The 20,722-nt window shown below is 35.1% G+C and overlaps 1 protein-coding gene across 2 annotated transcripts in view; it reads right to left on the bottom strand.

The window, feature by feature from the left end:
* The window catches only part of RTL4 (retrotransposon Gag like 4), a 374,502-nt gene that overhangs the window by 318,761 nt on the left and 35,019 nt on the right, over positions 1-20,722 (bottom strand). For both annotated transcript variants that reach the window (NM_001004308.3, NM_001395362.2), the window contains exon 2: positions 7,653-7,771. The gene's annotated coding sequence lies outside the window, so the exon portion shown is untranslated. The remainder of the gene's footprint in view (positions 1-7,652; positions 7,772-20,722) is intronic.

Below are 20,722 nucleotides of genomic sequence, written 5' to 3'. Positions count from 1 at the left end.
TTTAAAAAGTATTGCAAGATTTATTGTATATAAAGCTAATTCTAAAATTTGACAAACTGATTCTAAAATTTATTTGCAAATACAAATGACCTGAAATAGTTAAAACAACTTTGGATAATAAGACCAAAACTGGAGGATAAACACCATGTAATTTCAAGACTTAAAAAAAACACTTTACTGAGGTATGATTGATGTTATAAAAAACTGTACAGATTGAATGTATACAACTAGATGAGTTCCTAGATAAGTACACTCTAGTGAAACCATCATTACAATCTATTGCATAAACGTATCTATCACCTCCAAAACTTTTCTCTCACTGTCTTTATTATTATTATTATTTTATAAGAACATTAATGTAATATTTACTTTCTTACCCAATTTTGAAGTGTGTAAAACAGTATTGCTAACTATAGACACTATGCTATACAGTAGATATCTAGGAATTACCCAGCTTTCATAACTGAAATTTTATACCCTTGGATAAATAACTCCCTGTTTCCCTCTCCTTCAATCCCCTGGCTACCGCCATTCTAATCTCTGCTTCTATGAGTTTGACTATTTTAAAAAGCAGTATCATATAAGTAGTATGATGCAGTATTTCTCCTTCTGTATATGGCTTATTTCACTTAGCATAATGTCCTACAGGTTCATCCATATTGTTGCAAAAGGCAGGATTTTCTTCTTTTTTAAGGCTGAATAGTATTCCATTGTATGTATATACTGCATTTTTTAAATCCATCTGTCAGTGGACATTTAGATTGCTTCCATGTCTTGGCTATTGTGAACAATGCTACAATGAACATGGCTACGCAGATATCTCTTTGGGATTCTGATATTAATTCCTTTGGGTATACACCCTGAAGTAAGATTACTAGATCAAATGGTGGTTCTATTTTTAATGTTTTCAGAAATCTCCATACTGTTCTCAATATTGGCTGGAACAATTTACATTCCCACCAATGATGTACAAGATTACCCCTTTCTCCACATTCTTGCTAACACTTGTTATCTTTTTAATATATAATAGCCATCTGTTATGGTTTGGCTCTGTGTCCCCACCCAAATCTCATCTCAAATTGTAATCCCCACGTGTGGAGGAAGGGACCTGTAATCCCCACATGTCGAGGGAGGGACCTGTAATCTCCATGTGTGGAGAAAGAGAGGCAATTGGATCATGGGGGTGGTTTCTTCTATGCTGTTTTCATGATAGTAAGTGAGTTCTCACAAGATGTGTGGTGTTTGACAGTTCCTCCTTCACACACTCACTCTCCTGCCACCTTGTGAAGGATGTGCCTGCTTCCCCTTCCTCCATAATTGCAAGTTTCCTGAGGCCCCCAGAGCCATGCAGAACTGTGAGTCAGTTAACCTCTTTCCTTCGTAAATTACCTAGTCTTTGACAAACAGTGTGAAACGGACTAATACACTATCCTCACTGGTATAAGGTGATTATCTCATTGTGGTTTTGATTTGAATTTCCTTGATGATCAGTGATGTTGAGCACATTTTCATATACCTGTTGGCTATTTGTATGTCTTCCTTGGAGAAATGCATCTGCAGTTTTTTGCCCACTTTAATACAAGTATTTGTGGGTTTCTTTTTTTTTAAATATTGAGTTCTAGGAATTCCTATATATTTATCAGATGTATGGGTTGAAAATACTTTTCCCCATTCTGGAGTTTGCCTTTACATTTTGTTAATTGTTTCCTTTGTTGTGCAGAGCATTTTAGTTTGATATAATTTCACTTGTCTATTTTTGCTTTTGTTGCCTATGCTTTTAGTGTCCTATTGAAGAAATCATTGCTAAGGCCAATGTCAAGAAGATTTTCCTTATGTTTTCTTCTAGAACTTTTACAGTTTCAGGTCTCCATTTTGTTCCATTGGTCTATATGTCTGTTTTTATTGTCAATGCCATACTGGTATAAAACTGGCATAAAAACAGTTTTAATTACTACAGCTTTGCAATATATTTTGAAATCAGGAAGTATGGTGCCTCTAGCTTTGTTATTCTTCCTCCAATCTGCTTTGAGTAGCTGGGATCTTTGCTGATTCCATTTGAATTTTTGGACAGTTTTTTCCAGTTCTGTAAAAATGCTACTGGGATTTTGATAGGAATTGCATTTAATCTGTAGATCACTTTGGGTAGTGTGGACATTTTAATAATATTACTTTTACAGTCCACGAATATGGGATGTTTTTCCATTTATTTGTGTCTGCTTTAGTTTTTTCATAAATGTTTTTACAGTTTTCAGTGTACAAGTCTTCCACTTCCTTGGTTAAGCTTATGAAAACACTGCAGCTAACATCATACTTAATGGTGAAAAGCTGAAAGCTTTTACTGTATGATCTGGAAAAAGGCATGGATATCCACTCTCACCACTGCTATTCCATGTAGTACTGGAAGTCCTAGTCAAAGCAATCAGGTAAGAAAAGGAAATAAAATACATTCAAATTAGAAAGTAAGAAGGACAATTATCTCTGTTCATAGATGAAATAATCTTATATGTAGAAAAACCTAATGATAGCACAAAATTGTTGTAACAAATAAACAAATTCAGTAAAGTTGCAAGATACAAAATCAACACACAAAAATAAATTGTGTTTCTATAGACTAACAACAAACTATCCAAAATGGAAATGAAGAAAATAATCCCATTTACAATAGTATCAAAAAGAATAAAACACTTAGGAATAAACTTAACCAAAGTGATAAAATACTTGTACAATGAGGACTATGAAACACTCAAGACCCTTTATAAAGCTAAAATAATCAAGCCAGTATGATATTCATGTATGAATGAATAAATGGGTCAATGGAGCCCAGTAGAGAGCCAAGGTATACATATATATATATATATGTATGTATTATATGTATGTGTATATATATACTCATATATAAATATATGTATATAAATACATTTGCCAAAAATTAATTATATAGTCAATTAATTTTTGGCAAAGAGTCAAAAGAAATTCAGTGGGAAAATGTATTTTCAGTAAGTGGTGCTCTAAAACTTGGATATGCATATGCAAAAAAATGACTTTAATCCGTATCTCACATCATATACAAAAACTAACTCAAAATGAATCACAGATGTGAATGTAAACCTAAAACTTTAAAACTTCTAGAAGAAAATATAGGAGAATATTTTTAGGCAGAGATTTCTTAGGTACATTATAAACCATAAAACCCATACAAAACAATTGATAAATCAGACTTTATCAAAATTACAACTCCTTCTCTTTGAAAGAGGCTGATAAGAGAATGAAAAGACAAGCTATAGACTGGGAGAAAATCATTGCGAAGTATATCTAATAAATGAACCACAAAACTCAATAATAAGGAAAACAATTGCCCATATTTTTAAATTGACAAAAAATTTAAATAGTCACTTCAACAAAGAAAGCATACAGATGACTGATAAGTACATGAAAAGATGCTTAACATCATTAGTCATTAAGGAAATGCAGACTCAAACCATAATGAGATATTGCTACACAGCTATGAGAATGCCTAAAATTAAAAAGGTTGACCTTACTAAGTGTTGGTAAGGATGCAAAGCAATTAGAAATCTCATATAATGTTGATGGAAATGTAAAGTGGTGCAGTAACTTTGGTAAATAATTTGGCAATTTCTTAAAATGTTAAAAGTTAAACATACACATATGATTTAGTCATTCTATTCCTACATGTTTATCTAAGAGAAAGGAGAGCATGTCTTTACAAACATTTGCATATGAATGTTCATAACAACTTTATTTGTAATACTTAGACATTGGAAACAACTCAACTGTCCATCCATGTGCTAATAGACAATGTGCTACATCCATACAATAAAATACTGCTCATCTATGAAAAGGAATAAGTTGTTGATACACATTACAACATAGATGTACTTCAAAATAATTACATTGAGTTAAGAGACCAGACCAAAAAAAAGTACATATAATAAGATTCCACTTACATAAAAATCTAGGAAATATAAACTAGTTTATAATGACCAAAAGCCATTCAGCAGTTTCTGAGGGCTAGGAGGAAAATCCAAAGGAGCTTGCTGAAATTCTGGGGACTGATGGCTATGTTTCATTATCCTTATGGTAATAACAGTTTCACTGGGTGTACACATATGTAATAATGTGTCTAATTGTACAGTTTAGATTATACAGTTGATATTGTATCAATTATGCCTCTATAAAGCTATTTTTTAAAAGTACTATGGGAGTTCAGTGGAAGTAGACTCTAGATGGATCACAATCATAGGACATGAAGGCCTACCTTTTCTTTCCAGTGAGTGTAAGAATGATCTATAGGAGTGAGATGTCCGTTTCTGCAATTTGCATTTTTCTTAAAATCATGGGAGTAAGGAAAATACCAAACTGTATGTCCAAGTCTGAAATAATTTAGTCCCACAGAATCTAATATTTGTAAGAGTGTTAGCGGTCCAGTGGTTTTCCAGTGCTTTGCTCCACTCCACAAAGCACTGGAGTTTCTCTGATTTCTCAAGAGTATATGGTTGGAGGGGTGGGAATCTGGTGTTGTAGAGGATTTAAAAGACACAGAAGGTAATCCTGCTTCAATCAGAGAGGCTCCACTATTATCTGCTTTATATACTGAGTCTCAGAGTGACAATTTACTTAAAAATTAAAAGCACTCCACAACTAAAAAGAAGAATTTGAAAATCACAGGTATAGCTCAATCAGTCTGCTATGCGACTAATTTTTCACTACATTTGTTTATTGCAGTGTGGCTAAAATATTAGAGAGATTGGGAGGTCCTGCTTAATAGTCTAGTTATATTAGCTCTAGCATGGATTAGGAAAGAAGAAATTACTGAGCAAGAGAGCAGAATGGGAAAGCTAGGTAAACTAATTCTTCATGAGCAAAGCCTTTGTTTAAAACTATATAGATCAATAATGAGAATACAGCCAACATTTATTGAACAATTATCATGTAGCAGGCACTGGGATAATCACTTTACATATATTAATTCACTAAATTTTCACAACCTTATGTGATAAGAACTATGTTAAATACCCTTATTTTTCAGACATAGAAAATGAGGCACAGAGGGATTAAGCAGTTTGCCAAAGGCCCTGAGCTATTAAGTGTGAGAAGCCAGAGCTAGAACCCATAAATGCTAAACTCCAAATCACATTCTTTTGACTATTATTAGTGTGTTGCTCTCTTGATCAACTGTTTTCAAACTGCATGGATGTGCTTCATGGGTGTGTCAGTGGTATGAGAGAAGGATAAGAAGGGAGGGAGTCGGTCCCTTGCCATCGCTTCATCGCCTTTTGATCCCAGCAGTTCTATTTTTATCTTTATTTTCCTCTGAAAAGTTTGTTCATTTTAATACAATTGAGCATTTCATTTCCCCCTGACAGTAGTCAAAGAAAACATTTTATCATTATTTTATCATTATTATTCTTGGTATATCAAACTACATATTGGCATTCTGCTCAAGATTTCCACTGAAACGAAGATTTACACTACTAAAGAATTTTTAAAGAGATTTGAAAAGCACTTATAGCAGTAGCAATCACTTCATGTTACAGAAGAAAATACTGAGGGTACAAAGGAAATGTCTTTTACCTGCAGTAACAATAACACAGCAAATTAGTGGAAGTTTTGGCTCTTCTTTGTCCAACATTCTTTCCTATATGCCGCTATTTCACCATGAACCCCAACAAGGCCTCATCAAAATTTTAGTGGAATACAAGAGTTTTAAGAAATTAAAATTGAATGTAAGAAATGTCTAGAAAGAAGACTCTATTTTGAAATTAAGAGTGGGCTAGCCTCCTCCAGGAGGTAATAGCCATCTATAACATTCAAATACTCAAGGCAAAAGATTTGTCTTTGACCGCCAGTGGGCACTGGAGTGTATAAAGAATGTAATGCCATGTTGGAAGTATGGAACTTACCTTATTGTAGTGCAAATCAATCAATAAATTTGAGTATAGGAAAAAATTTAACCTTCTTACATAAAACTTTTCATAGAGACATGACTTAAAATGGGAGAGAAGACAACCATATCCAACTTTGTATTTGAAAAGGATTCAAGAAAGTCCTGGCAGAGCCAGGGTGCTAGGGTTGGTGCTCATCTTCTGTCTCAGAATTCACTGTAATTCTCTTTCTAGTTCCAGACTCTAAGACTCATCTCAGGTGCAAACCTCAGGACTTTGAGGGGGTCAGTGAAACTCCAGACTTGTCATGCAAAATTTGTATGTATGTATGTATGTATGTGTATTTTTCTGGAGAGAGGGTCCTAGCCTTCTTCAGAATCTCAAAGGGGTCCAGAAAATTAGGACATGCTGGTTTGGACCTAGTTTTTATGAGTGGAATGGGCTTTATGCCCTTTGTGAGATCAGAGGGAGGTAAGCTGTCTGATTGACCTGAAAACTCCAGGAAAAGGGAAAACTGAGGATATGGCAATATTTTTCTGCCTGCCTGCCTGCTTATCTTCCTCTCAAAGCACACTAATCAAATTGAATCTTTGTAAGTGGTGGGGACCCTGAGGAGAGGTAGTTAAGGAAAATAAAAGCTAGGGATGATGATAGGTTATTTTGTGTTGTGTGGTATGTTTATATGATGCCAAATAACCTGTTTAACTTACGTTTTTGTCTATTAACCTGTTGTTTCAGTATCATATAGAGGTAACCTGATACAGTGGGAAAATTATGGGCTCTAGAGACAAGCAGACCTGGATTCAGATCCAGACTCTGTCTCCTTGGAGCTAGTTTCTTAACTTCTTTAATTAAGCCTCTTTCTTCGTTTATAAAATGGGAATAATAGGTACTACTTCATAGGTACTACTTCAGATTAGACGTATAGCAAAATAGCTGGTAAACAGGAACATAATAGTAGGGATTTGTATTAGAATTTACTGTTATCACCATAGATACAATCTTCTTTCTCCTGTTTTGTATTCCCTCTATTTATTTCTCTCCATCTCACTATCTCTATTTATTTTCCTATTTGGACCTGTTCCTTCTCTCTTTACTTACCCCTCTTTCTTTTCCAATTTCTCCCTTTCTCTGTTTAATATGCGTCTTTTCCTCACACCCACTCTCTCTCCCCTGCTATCCACCTGCCAGAAAGAGGAACACATGAAGCAACTTGAGAGATTTAATAGTACGAATAGTGAAGGGGGAAAAAAGGCATTTGTTAAGTCAGATTTCAAGAAATACCAGGTCTCATTATTGAAGTCCTGCATCTTCATCTGAAATCTCATATACAATATGCAATAACTGCTAAACTTATGCTGTCCCCTTATATGGCTCAATCTCAGCCTGTCAATATCAGTCTTCCAGTTGTACTCAGAGCTAAAAATGAGGCCATGGGTGCCATGGAGATTTGAAGTTCTCCCAGAGCTCTTGAGCTTTTACTTAAATGAAAAGCCAAATATCCAAGCAATATTTACTCAGGGATTTGTTTGCTACATTAATTAAAATACAGTACAAGTTCCCTTATCAATGGAATTGCTTGACTAACTTAAAAGTCTCCTTTAAAGCAGAAACTGGTAAAAAAAAAAAAAGGTATTTACATACCTTAGATGTTTTTATTCTAATTTAAAACATAAATGTACATTCACTTCTCAATATTTTTATGTAAGGCCAAGACCTATACTACAATTTTTCTTTTATAAAACTCACCCAGGCAGGGCGCAGTGGCTCACGCCTGTAATCCCAGCAGTTTGGGAGGCCGAGGCAGGTGGATCACGAGGTCAGGAGATCGAGACCATCCTGGCTAACATGGTGAAACCCCGTCTCTGCTAAAAAAAAATACAAAAAAAATTAGCCGGGCATGGTGGCGGGAGCCTGTAGTCCCAGCTACTCGGGAGACTGAAGCAGGAGAATGGCATGAACCCGGGAGGAGGAGGTTGCAGTGAGCTGAGATCGCACCACTGCATTCCAGACTGGGCGACAGAGCGAGACTCAGTCTTACAAAAAAAAAAAAAAAAAACCCACACCCATAAGTGTCATCAATGATATCTAGTTTCAGTTCCTTTCACATGGAGTAAAGACATACAGTACTTGTAGAATATATTGAGTAAAAACGCCTTCTAAATTTTACAATCTTGTTCTGAATTTATAGTTGTCATACTCCCATTTAGTTTGACAGAAATATTTTTAGTAACATTAATTTACTGAGTATTTCTAAATCATTTTACTTAGTATTTTTTGTATTATTAACGATGTCATACATAAAAATAATATAAATGTATCTAAAGAGTAAATATTAAATAAGCATGCATGCATTCACAACCTACCAACCTACTGTAAGAAATACATCATTACAAATAACTTTGAAGGCTCTTGTGTCAGGAAAAGTAAAGGGTCTGAGATTTTTTACCCACCTCGCAAGCTGGCAAGTTGGCCTACCACAGTTGCATGGATGCTGGCAAAAACTGATCTAATTGTCTATCTACACTAATGGCATACTGTCTTGATTACTGTAGCATTATAAGAAGATTAGAAAAATCGACTCCGTCTCAAAAAAAAAAAAAAGAAAAGAAAAGAAAAGAAAAATCAACTAGTGCAGATTTTTCCTCCAACTCTGTAATTTTTTGAAGTTGTTTTGGCTAATCTAGGCCCTTTACATTTCCATGTAAATTTGAGAATCAGCTTGTCAATTTCAAAAAAACCCTAGCATTTTTGTTTGGATTGTGGTAAATCTGTAGATAAGCGTGGAAATAATTGGCATCTTAGTAATATTGAGTCTTCCTTCTGATTCATAAAAACAATATATCTCTCTACTTATTTAATTTTTCCCAACAACGGTTTTTCATTTTCATTGAATGGGTCTTATATATCTGTTGTCAGAATAATCCCCAAGAATTTAACATTTTTATGCTACTGTTAATGATATTTTTTCCATTTTAATTTTGGATCGTTTTTGGTAAATATAAATATAACTGATTTTGTATGTTGATCTTCTATCCTGTACCCTTGCTAAATTCACTTATTACTTTTAGTAGCTTTTTTGGTATATTCCATCAAATTTTCTACATAGAAGATCATATAGTCTGAAAAATAAAGACAGTTTCAGCTTTAGTTCTTTGTTTCCCATCTGGATGCCTCTTTCTTGCTATACAATAATGGATACAACTGCAAGTCTGCTGGTGAAATAAGTGGTGAAAAATTATATCCTTGCATTGTTCATGACTTCAAAGCAAACACATTGAGGCTTTCACCTTTAACTAAAATGTTAGCTGTAGTTGGTGTGTTTTTGTTTGTTTGTTTGTTTTTTGCTAATACATTTTATCGGGTTATTAGAATGTCCTTTGGTCCCATTATGATGAGAATTTTTATCAGAAATAGATGTTGGATGTTATGCATAATGTTGCTATGAACATTCATTTCATTTAAAAGTTTTTGTGTGGGTAAATGTTTTCAATTCTGTTAGGTATATACCTATGAGTAAAATTGCTGGATCATCAGGTAATTCTACATTTTACTTTTTGAGGAGCTGCCAACTGTATTAAAAAATGTATGAAACACATTACATTCCCATCAGCAATACAAAAGGGTTCTAATTTCTTCATCATCCTTGCCAACACTTATTTTCCATTAAAAAAATTATAGTCATCCTTATGGGTGTAAAGTGTAAAGTGGTATCTCATTGTGGTATTGATGTGTAGTTCCCTAATAACTAATGATGTTGAATATCTTTTTATTTCCTTCTTGGCCCTTTTTACATCTTCTTTGGGTAAACGTCTATTCAATTCTTTTGACTACATTTAAGTGGATTGTTTGCCCTTTTGTTGTTGAGTTCTAAGTGTTCTTTATACATTGTTGACATTAGATCCTTATCAGACATATGATTTATAAATTTCTCCTATTGAGTAGGCTATCTTTTACATTTGTTGATAATGTCCTTTGATGCACAGAAGACAGAAGACTAATTTTGATGAAGTCTAATTTATTTATTTGTTTATTGCCTAAGCTTTTGGTGTCATAGCCAAAGTTTTATTCTAAGAGTTTTATAGTTTATCTCTTATATTAGGATTAGACTTAATTTGGGTTAATTTTTGTACATAATAGAAGGTAGGGACCCAACTTCTAAGTTCTTTTACTTTTTTTTTTTTTTTTTTTGTGAGACAGAGTCTCACTCTGTCTCCCAGGCTGGAGTGCAGTGACAAAATCTCTGCTCACTGCAACCTCCACTTCCGGGTTCAAGCGAGTCTCCTGCCTCAGTCTCCCAAGTAGCTGGGACTACAGGCGCGTGCCACTGCGCCTGGCTACTTTTTGTATTTTTAGTAGCGACAGGGTTTCACCATGTTGGCCAGGCTGGTCTCGAACTCCTCAGATAATCCGCCCGCCTCGGCCTCCCAAAGTGCCAGGATTAGAGGCGTGAGCCACCGCGCCGGGCCCCAAGTTCATTCTTTTAAACGTGGATATCCAGTCACGCCAGCATTTCTTGTCGAAGAGAATATTCTCTCCTTATTGATGGCCTTGGCACCCTTGTCAAATCAATCGGCTCTAAATGTACAGGTTTATTTCTGGAGTCTCAATTCTATTACACTAGTCTACAGATATGTCCTTATGCCAGTACCACACTGTTTTGATTCCTCTAGCTTTTTAATAAGATTTTAAATTTGGAAATATGAGTCTTCCCACCTTTTTTCTTCTTTTTAAGGGATATTTAGGATAATTAAGGCCCCTTGTAAATCCTTAAGCATTTGTAGGTCAGCTTTTCCATTTCTACAAAAAAGGGCAATGGAATTTTGATATATATTACATTGAATTTGTAGACTATTTCAGTTTATATTGTCACTTTAATGATATTAAATCTTCTAATCCATGGAATATCTTTCCATTTATTTAGGTATTCTTTAATTTCCTAAGCAATGTTTTGTAGTTTTCATTGTACAAGTCTTTTCCTTCCTTGGTTAAACATTTATTCCTTTGTATTTTACTATTTTTGATGATGTTATAAATTGAATTATTTTCTTAAATTACTCTTCATATTGCTTAGTGTGGGTATACAGAAACACGAATTTTTCTGTATTGATTTTGTGCTCTGAAACTTTGTAGAATTAGTTTATTAGTTCTAGCAATTTTTATGGGGCAATTCCTTTGAGATTTTCTATATATACAATCATGTCATATGTAAACAGAGTTTTACTTCATCCTTTCCAATTTGGATGCCTTTTATTTCTTCATCTTACCTAATGGCTCTGGTTAGAACTTCCACTACAATGTTAAATAGCAGTGGTGACAGCAAACACCCCCGTTACTGATCATAGGAAGAAAGCTTTCAGTCTTTCTCCATTAAACATGTGATGAACTGTGGGTTTTCATGAATACCCTTTATGATGTTGAGAAAATTCCCCTCTATTGCCAGCTTTCTGGGCATTTTTTTTTTGGAATCATGAATGGTTGTTGAATTTTGACAAGTGCTTTTCCTGCATCAGTTCAGATGATCATGTGATTTTTATACCCTTCATTCTATTAATTTGGTGTATTACATTGACTGATTTTCTTAGAATGAACCACTCACTCTTGCATTTCTGGAATAAACCCCACTTTGCCATGGTGTATAACCCTTTTAATATACTGTTAGATTTAGTTTGATATTATTTGGCTGAGGATTTTTGCACCTATGTTCATAAAGGATATTGGTCTGTAGTTTTATTTTCTTATGATATATTTGGCTTTGGTATAAGGGTAATGCTGGTATCATAAAATAAATTAAAAGTGTTCGCTCCTCCTCTATTTTTTGGAAGTTTAACAAGGATTGGTGTTAATTTTTCTTTAAATGTTTTGTAGAATTCACCAGTGAAGCCATCTGTTCCTGGACTTTTCTTTTTTGGGATGTTTTTGATTACTGCTTCAGTCTTTTTATGGGTTTTTAAAAAACTTTTTATAGGTCTATTCAGAATTTCTATTTCTTTTTGAGTCAGAATTGGTAGTTTGTGTGTTTCTAGGAATTTGTCCATTTCATCTAGGTTATCTAATTTGTTGGGGTATAATTGTTCACAGTATTGTCTTATAATTCATTTATTCTTTTAAGGTTAGTAGTATTGTCTTCACTTTTATTTCTAGTTTTAGTTCTTTTCATCTGTCTTTTTATTTTAGTCAGCCTACTTAAATGCTTGTCAGTTTTGTTGATCTTTTCCATTAACCAATTTTGGCTTCATTGATTCCATTGTTTTTCTATTCTCTATTTGTTTTATCTTTAACTTTTATTATTTCTTTCCTTCTGCCAGCTTGGATTTAGTTTGCTCTTCTTTCTCTATATCCTTGCTGTGCAAAGTTAGGTTATTGATTTGAGATCTGTCTTTTATAATGCGGGTTTTTACAGCTACAAATATTCCTCTGAGCACTGCTTTTCTTCATCCCATAAATTCAGTATGTTGTGTTTTCATTTGTGGATATTCTTTGGGAGTTAGGATGAAGGTACTTTCCTCCAGAGAGTATTTGTGTTTGCCTTGCAAAGCACTTAGGTACCTTTAAGGTACTACTTTAAATTACATTCTTTTCTTCAATTTTTTTTCTACATTCATTTCTTGACGAGTTTTGTCCAACCAGGTGATAAATTCAATTGCAAATATGTGTGAGGACCAGCTTGTGTTAACAACTTCTTAGGGACTAGTCATCTTATCCCCATATTTTGTTCAAGGTTAAGGCAACTTTTCATGCAGTCTTCTGCAGGGGTGGAATTGCTGGGATGGGATGATCACCCTTACTCAAGGGCCTAGCCTCTTATGATTCACTTTAATAGGGATAGTATCGTACTAAACTCCCCACCTTAGGCCGCCGGCCCTGTGTAACTTCTCTCTCACCTGTCACCATGAAGCTGTGAAAAACAAAAGCTCCAGACCCCCAGTTTGACAAATCTCTTAAGGACAAAAGTGGCTTTGGAGCTCAGCTTATAGCTCTCTGTTCCAGTGTTATCGTAGATGTTGGCCTTGTAGAGTATTGATATCTAGTCATCCCTTGGTTGCCTTCATGATTTTAAACAGCATTTTATACACAGTTTTTAATTCTTTAAATGGGGGGTTGGTTTAAATAAATTCACCCTACTGGTAGCTCTGTTTTTCCCTATCTCCTTTATCCCAAAGACGTAAATGTTCAATTACTGAGGAATTTAAATGAAGTTGTGACCACCTCCATGGGCGGGCAGGGGTCTAAGTTAATTGTGCAATTGATAAAGGACTTTCTCAATGGCTCTGTAGTCATTATTAACATGTCTTCTCTCTTCCCCATAAGGACATAGGACATTTCTGTCCTTAAAGTTTGAACAACTAACAAATCAGATAATCCAAGGGGCATGTTCTATTTTCCAAGAATGATTGACACTTTGGTGCTGCGGTTTTGTGGGGAGAGTGGTGGTTTTTGTTTAACTTGTGTGGAATTGTGTGTGTGAGGTAAGGTTTTAATTGGTACTTTTTTCTTTTTCCTTTGTGAGCTGATAACGGAAGCAGAACAGTACATCTTCAAGTAAAGAAAGATTTCTTAATCCACTTTCTGTGATGTCAGACTATAAGGGAAACCCTTGCAATTGTTTTCTAGATTTAACTAAATTCAGTCAGATATTTTGGATTAAGAAATCTTAAGTCTCATGCCTGTAATCCCAGTACTTTGGGAGGCCAAGGTGGGCAGATCACGTGAGATCAGGAGTTCGAGACCAGCCTGACCAATATGGTGAAACCCCATCTCTAATAAAAAAAAAAAAAAAAAATTAGCCAGGTGTGGTGGCATGCACCTGTAGTCCCTGCTACTTGGGAGGCTGAGGCAGGAGAATCGCTTGAACCTGGAAGTTGGAGGTTTCAGTGAGCTGAGATCGCACCACTGCACTCCAGCCTGGGTAAGACAGAAAGACTGTCTCTAAACAAAACAAAACAAGACAAAACTGAACTCTTAATAGATTACATACTCCAAGAAAATACATCAAGGGCAGATAATTGACAGAAAATACTGACGCTTCAATGTGACACTTATTTTTTTTTCTTTAAGTTCCAGGATACGTGCGCAGAACGTGCAGGTTTGTTACATAGGTATAGGTGTGCCATGGTGGTTTGCTGTGCCTATTGACCCGTCCTCTAATTCCCTCCCCTCAAATCCCCTCCCCCCCAACAACCGGCCCGGTGTGAGTTGTTCCCCTCCCTGTGTCCATGTGTTCTCATTGTTCAACTCCCACTTATGAGTGAGAACATGAGATGATTGGTTTTCTGTTCCCGTCTTATTTTGCTGAGAATGATGGCTTCCAGCTTCATCCAAAATGTCCCTGCAAAGGACATGATCTCATTCCATTTTATGGTTGCATAATATTCCATGGTGTATATGTACCACATTTTTTTTTATCCAGTCTATCATTGATGGGCGTTTGGGTTGGTTCCATGACTGTGCTATTGTAAATAGTGCTGCAATAAACATACGTGTGCATGCATCTTTATAGTAAAATGATTTATATTACTTTGGGTATATACCCAGTAATGAGATTGCTAGGTTAAATGGTATTTCTGGTTCTAGATCCTTGAGGAATTGCCATACTGTCTTCCACAATGGTTGGACTAATTTATATTCCCACCAACAGTGTAAAAGTGTTCCTATTTCTCCACAGCCTCGCCAGCATCTATTGTTTCTTGACTTTTAATAATCACCATTCTTTCTGACTGGCATAAGATGGTATCTGATTGTGGTTTTGATTTCCATATCTCTAATGGTCAATGATTTTGAGCTTTTTTCATATGTATGTCTTCTTTTGAGAAGTGTCTGTTCATATCCTTTGCCCACTTTTTTATGAGGTTTTTTTTTTCTTGTAAATTTGTTTAAGGTCCTTGTTAATTCTGGATATTAGACCTTTGTCAGATGGGTAGACTTGAAAATTTTTCTCCCATTGTGTACATTGCCTGTTCACTCTGATGATAGTTTCTTTTGCTGTGAGAAGCTGTTTAGTTTAATTAGATTCCATTTGTCAATTTTGGCTTTTGTTACACTAGCTTTTGGTGCTTTCGTCATAAAGTCTTTGTCCATGCCTATGTCCTGAAGCTGGAGCATCATGCTACCCGACTTCAAGCTATACTACAAGGCTACAGTAACCAAAACAGCATGGTACTGGTACCAAAACAGACATACAGTCCAATGGAAGAGAACACAGACCTCAGAAATAACACCACACATCTACAACCTTTGATCTTTGACAAACCTGACAAAAACAAGCAATGGGGAAAGGATCTCCTATTCAGTAAATGGTGCTGGGAAAACTGGCTAGCCATATGCAGAAAACTGAAACTGGACCCCTTCTTTACACTGTATACAAAAATTAACTCAAGATGGATTAAAGACTTAAATGTGAAACCCCAAACCACAAAAGCTCTAGAAGAAAGCCTAGGAAATGTGACACATTTTTATAGAACATTTCTACCTGACTTGACTTGTCCTATAAGGATCACACTGTGTTTGTGTTTAATTTAATGCAATTTGTGTAACTTGTAGTTGCATATCTTCAAAGTTTCTCATTTTTATAAACAAATTTGAAATCATGCCAGTAAGTTAGATGTTGAATGTATGTAAGTAGCATTTGGTAACTGCTAAGAGGCTACAAAAACATTATTGGCAAAGAAGAGTTTAGTTCTGATTTGGTTGGATAATATTTTATTATGACCCTTTCTTGGTCTCAGGCTCTAATGTTTGAAAAAGAAGGGAATATATTGGGTTTTTAAAAATCAGTGTATTGCAACTTGAACTGCTGTAAGTTATTCTTCCACAGAGCCATTAGTGCTTTGTATATTTATATATTTTTACTTTACTATTATGAAAGAAAAATATACTGACTTTATAGAAAGCAAGTTTCTCCTAATTAACAAAGGTTAAAATTTTACCTCTACCAATTAAAATTACAATAGATATTGAAAAATTTAAAAATAAATAATAAATTGACAGTCATTATTTCTAGAAAATAAGGTGTCATACAATATACAGGCATATAAACACATAAAATTGATAGATATACTAATTTTCTCAGGTATAATCTAATATAATCTCTAATGGATACAATCTTAGAAAAAATAGTTTTGTTTCTTTTGAACTTTGTTATAACTTCCGTTTCTTTACCTTGTCTTACTCTTCTGGCTTGCATATCCTATCAACTATATTTTTAGGGTATTTATTCACCTCAACCATTTTTCCTTTGTGTTTCATATAATCCAATTATAGTCTTAATTATTTTAAAATGTACAAGTATTTTTTACTATAGTCACCTATAGTAAAAAATTGTTTATGCTATCAAATACTAGGTCTTATTTATTCTTTCTAACTATTTTTTGTACCCCTTAACCATCCCTCGCCTTCCCTCACCTCCCCACTCCCCTTCCCAGGCTCTGGTAACCATCTTTCTACTTTCAATCTCCATGAGTTCAATTGTTTTAATTTTTAACTCCCACAGACAAGTGAAAACATGTGATATTTGTCTTTCTGTGCCTGGCTTACTTCACTTAACATAATGACCTCCAGTTCAATCCATGTTGTTGCAAATAACAGGATCTCATTATTTTTATGGCTGAATACTACTCCATTATGTATATGTACTACATTTTCTTTATCCATTCATCTGTTGATGGACACTTAGGTTGATTCCATACTTTGGCTATTATGAACAGTGCTGCAAAACACATGGGAGTGCAGATATCTCTTTGATATACTGATTTCCTTTCTTCCTATAAACTATTGGATAGAAGTGGAGTTAGTGGCATCCCTGTCTCAAACGGATGCATTTGGAATTCAAACATTAAGTATAATGTTTGTATTAGGTTTTTAAAATCTCCTTAATCAAATTTAAAATATTTCCTTCTATGCCTAGCTTGCTAAGGGCTGATTTTTATTATGAATATATGTTAAATTTTATTAAATGCTTTTACTGTATCTATTGTGATAATATGTGGTGAATTATATTAATAGATTTTCTAATGTATTAATTGCATAGATAAAGAATTCTCACAAAGGAACCTAAAGTTTCTTTTCCTAGCAGTTCTGAAATAAGACCATGCATGTCTGAAATAAGCCCATCTGGATCTTAATGAACTATCTTTTAAGATGTTACTGAAATCAATTTGTTAATATTTTAAAAAATATTTTACCTATATTAATGGGTGAGTTTAACCTATAATTCCTCTAACATATATTGTACTTCTCTGATTTGTTATCATGGTTACATACTAACCTCATAAAATAATTTGAGAAGGGTTGCCTCTTTTTCTGTCCTCTAAAATACTTTATGTACAATTATTAAACCTTCTGATCTCCTGTTTTACCTATGGAGAGATTTTCAACCAGTGAATAAGTTCCTTAAATGTTATCATAGTTAATAAATTTATTTAGTTATCTTTCATAATTTATACTTTTCTAGAAATTTGTTCTTTTTGTTGTTAGTGTATCAGCATAAGGTACTTCATAAAATTATCTTATTAATTTCTGCTGTATTATAAGCCCATTATTTTATTCATTCCTAAATTTTTCATTCAACTTAGTTTTTATAGAAACAATAATTTCATTTTCATAGTCATGGTTTCATTGGTTTTCATAATACTAAAATTGAAGTATAGAATTACAAAATTAGGTTCAATTGACTTAACTTTGGGAATAAATACAACTATCTTTTTTAACTTTTATGTTAAGTTCAGGGGTACATGTGCAGGTTTGTTATATAGGTAAACCTGTGTCATGGGCATTTGTTTTACAGATTATTTCATCACCCATGTATTAAGCCCAGTACCCATTAGTTATTTTTTTCTGATCCTATCCCTCCTCCCAACCTCCACCCTCTGGTAGGCCCCAGTTTATATAACTGTATGTTGACTCATATCTCTCAACTAGTGGCAGCAAGAGCATTCTGGCTTAATAAAGAGGCACTTACTAAGTGTAAGCATTCAGAGTGCCCTGGGCATCAGCCAGTAAGTTTTACAGAGGGACTGAAATGCACATACATAATTTTCACTGTATGTCAAATTCCATGTCTTTATGCGGCAGGAAAAGAGTGATGTTTCAATTTGCTGAAAAGAATTTTTAACATACTTTTCGGCCACTACACTTAGGTATTTAGTGTCTTTTGTGTTCTTCAGTAACATAAGGTTTTGGCGTGTTTTTTTTTCTAGAAAAATGGAAACTACTAACCTTGAGGACTTGTCTTAAATGCTTATGATCTTCCAAGTGCTAAAAAAAAAAAAAAAACCCCAGCCGGGCGTGGTGGCTCACGCCTGTTAATCCCAGAACTTTGGGAGGCCAAGGTGGGCAGATCACGAGGTCAGGAGATCGAGACTATCCTGGCTAACACAGTGAAACCCCGTCTCTACTAAAAATACAAAAACTTAGCCAGGCGTGGTGGCGGGCGCCTGTAGTCCCAGCTACTTGGGAGGCTGAGGCAGGAGATTGGCATGAACCTGGGAGGCGGAGCTTGCAGTGAGCTGAGATAGCGCCACTGCACTACAGCCTGGGCGACAGAGCCAGACTCCGTCTCAAAAACAAAACAAACAAACAAACAAAACCTTAAGTTTTATGTACTTATGTGCAAACTCTTGATCTGTGTAACGCAGGCTTTTCCACCTGAAACTATTTCATGTTGCCTACATAAAGTATCCTTGAAAAGATCCTATATTGGTGGCCATTTGGAAAAGAAGACCACAACTTTGCTTTTGGTTTGGCTCCAAATAGGGACTAATAACTCTCATTGTAAAATTAAAGTTAGATACATCATGGGCCTTCTATAAATATAATTCAAGAAAGCCAACCTAGCAAGTAGTAAGGAGAAATGCTATGAAAACATGTTACATTAACTCATTATAATTTTCAAAAATACGTAAAGCCACCCCAGAGGCTTGCCAATAACATGAAAGGTAGCAAACATTTTAATGATTAACAGATGAACATTATTACACATTAGAGTTAGTAATGTTCTTTGAATTTAAAGATGACACGAGAGAGACACAAATATTATCATCTGGGCTCTCAAGTTTTTTCTACAATCCTTTCCCTGGTTGGTGCTCTTTCCCATTACAAACAACAGATGTTTTAAATTTGCAAAACCCTCTCTAGGTCTTTTACCCATCACAGTTAGACTCCACAGAATGCTTTGCTTCCTTTATCAGTGAAGAAAAGGGAACCATTAAGTGTAAACGTCATCAACTTTCCTGCCTTAATACTCTAACATTTATAATGGCACTCAATTTTTTCCTCCTTTCATATTTGAGAGGCATGTGTGTTTCCACTCCAATTCAAGCCTAACTATTGTTGACCAATGCTAGTATGTCCTGTCCAAGTCGTACACATTCTCATGTGTAAGGCCAATGGGTTTACATATCTACCCTTTCATTATTGCTCACTGCAATCGTGACAACTGTCTCCACCTCTACGTTGAAGCATACTCCCTCACAAATCCATCAATGATCCCTTTTCTCTCCTGTTTCTGACCTTGACCTCTCCTGCAGATCCTTCCCCTCAGCCCACAAACACATTTTTCCTTTAAAAAAACACAGTAATCAACCATGACTATTTCCAAAACTAAAGACTTTACCTCTCTGTCTTCCCTTGACTACCAGACCTTTTGAAAGAATAGTCTATACACACTGTATTTCCACGCCCAGCTCCTTTTTCTTTAGAAAAAAAAGTACAAAATGGGTCTGTAATCCCACCACTTTGGGAGGCTGAGGCAGGTGGATCACTTGAGCCCAGGAGTTCAAGACCAGTCTGGTCAACATGGCGAAACCCCGTCTCTACTAAAAATACAAAAAAAAAAAAAAAAAAATTAGCTGGGTGTGGTGGCACATGCCTGTAGTCTGGGAGGCGGAGGTTGTAGTGAGCTGAGATTGCACAACTGCACTCCAGTCTGGGTGACAGAGCGAGACTCCATCTCGGAAAATAAAATAAAATAGTACAAAATAAATGGTTGCTGGTTTTATCAAACATCAGTAATCCATTTTCATCATAAAAATTGGAAAACTGATAAAAAAGAAACTAAGTTTTAAAATATCTATAATCTCATCATAAACATTCTTGACATTTTGATGTCTCTTTTTCCTCTACATCTTCATACTCATAAATATGTGCATATTTTTCTACAAAATTATATCATAGCACACATAGTTGTAGCGTCCAGCCTTCAAGGTGACTCCCCATGATCCCATCTCCTGGTATTAACACCCTTGTATAATTCCCTCCCACATTGTAACAGGGTTGATCTGTGTGACAAATATCATATAAATGAAGTAATGTCATGATCCTTAGGAGATTAAATTATAGAAGACTGTGGCTTCCTTCTTTGACCGTGTCCCTACTCTCTTTTGGATTCCTAACTCTAGGGGTTGTCAGCTGCCATGTCATGAGGACAATCAGGTAGCCTATTACTTGCCTCATGTGGCAAGGAAAAGAAGACTCTGGCCAATAGCTGGAGAGAAACTGAAACCTGCCAACAACCATGTGAATGAGTTTGGAAGTGGTTTCTTCAACACAAGTCAAGCCTTGAAATCAACATCAACCCAACATATTGCTTACAGAACAGATCAACATCTTGTCTGCGAACTGATGAAGGACTCTGAGCCAGAACTACCCAGCTAAGCAACTCCCAGATTACTGACCCTCAAAAGCTGTGTAATAAATGTTTGTTGTTTTAAACTGCTAAGTTTTGGTGTGATTTCTTATGAAAGCAAAAGATAATTAATATAATAGTGCTCTGGAACTTGTTCTCTCAATTAATAATCTGTCAAGTACATATTTCCATTTCCATA

Source organism: Homo sapiens, chromosome X, assembly GCF_000001405.40.
Source record: "Homo sapiens chromosome X, GRCh38.p14 Primary Assembly".
NCBI lineage: Eukaryota > Metazoa > Chordata > Mammalia > Primates > Hominidae > Homo > Homo sapiens.
This window is presented reverse-complemented; position numbering and strand designations above follow the sequence as displayed.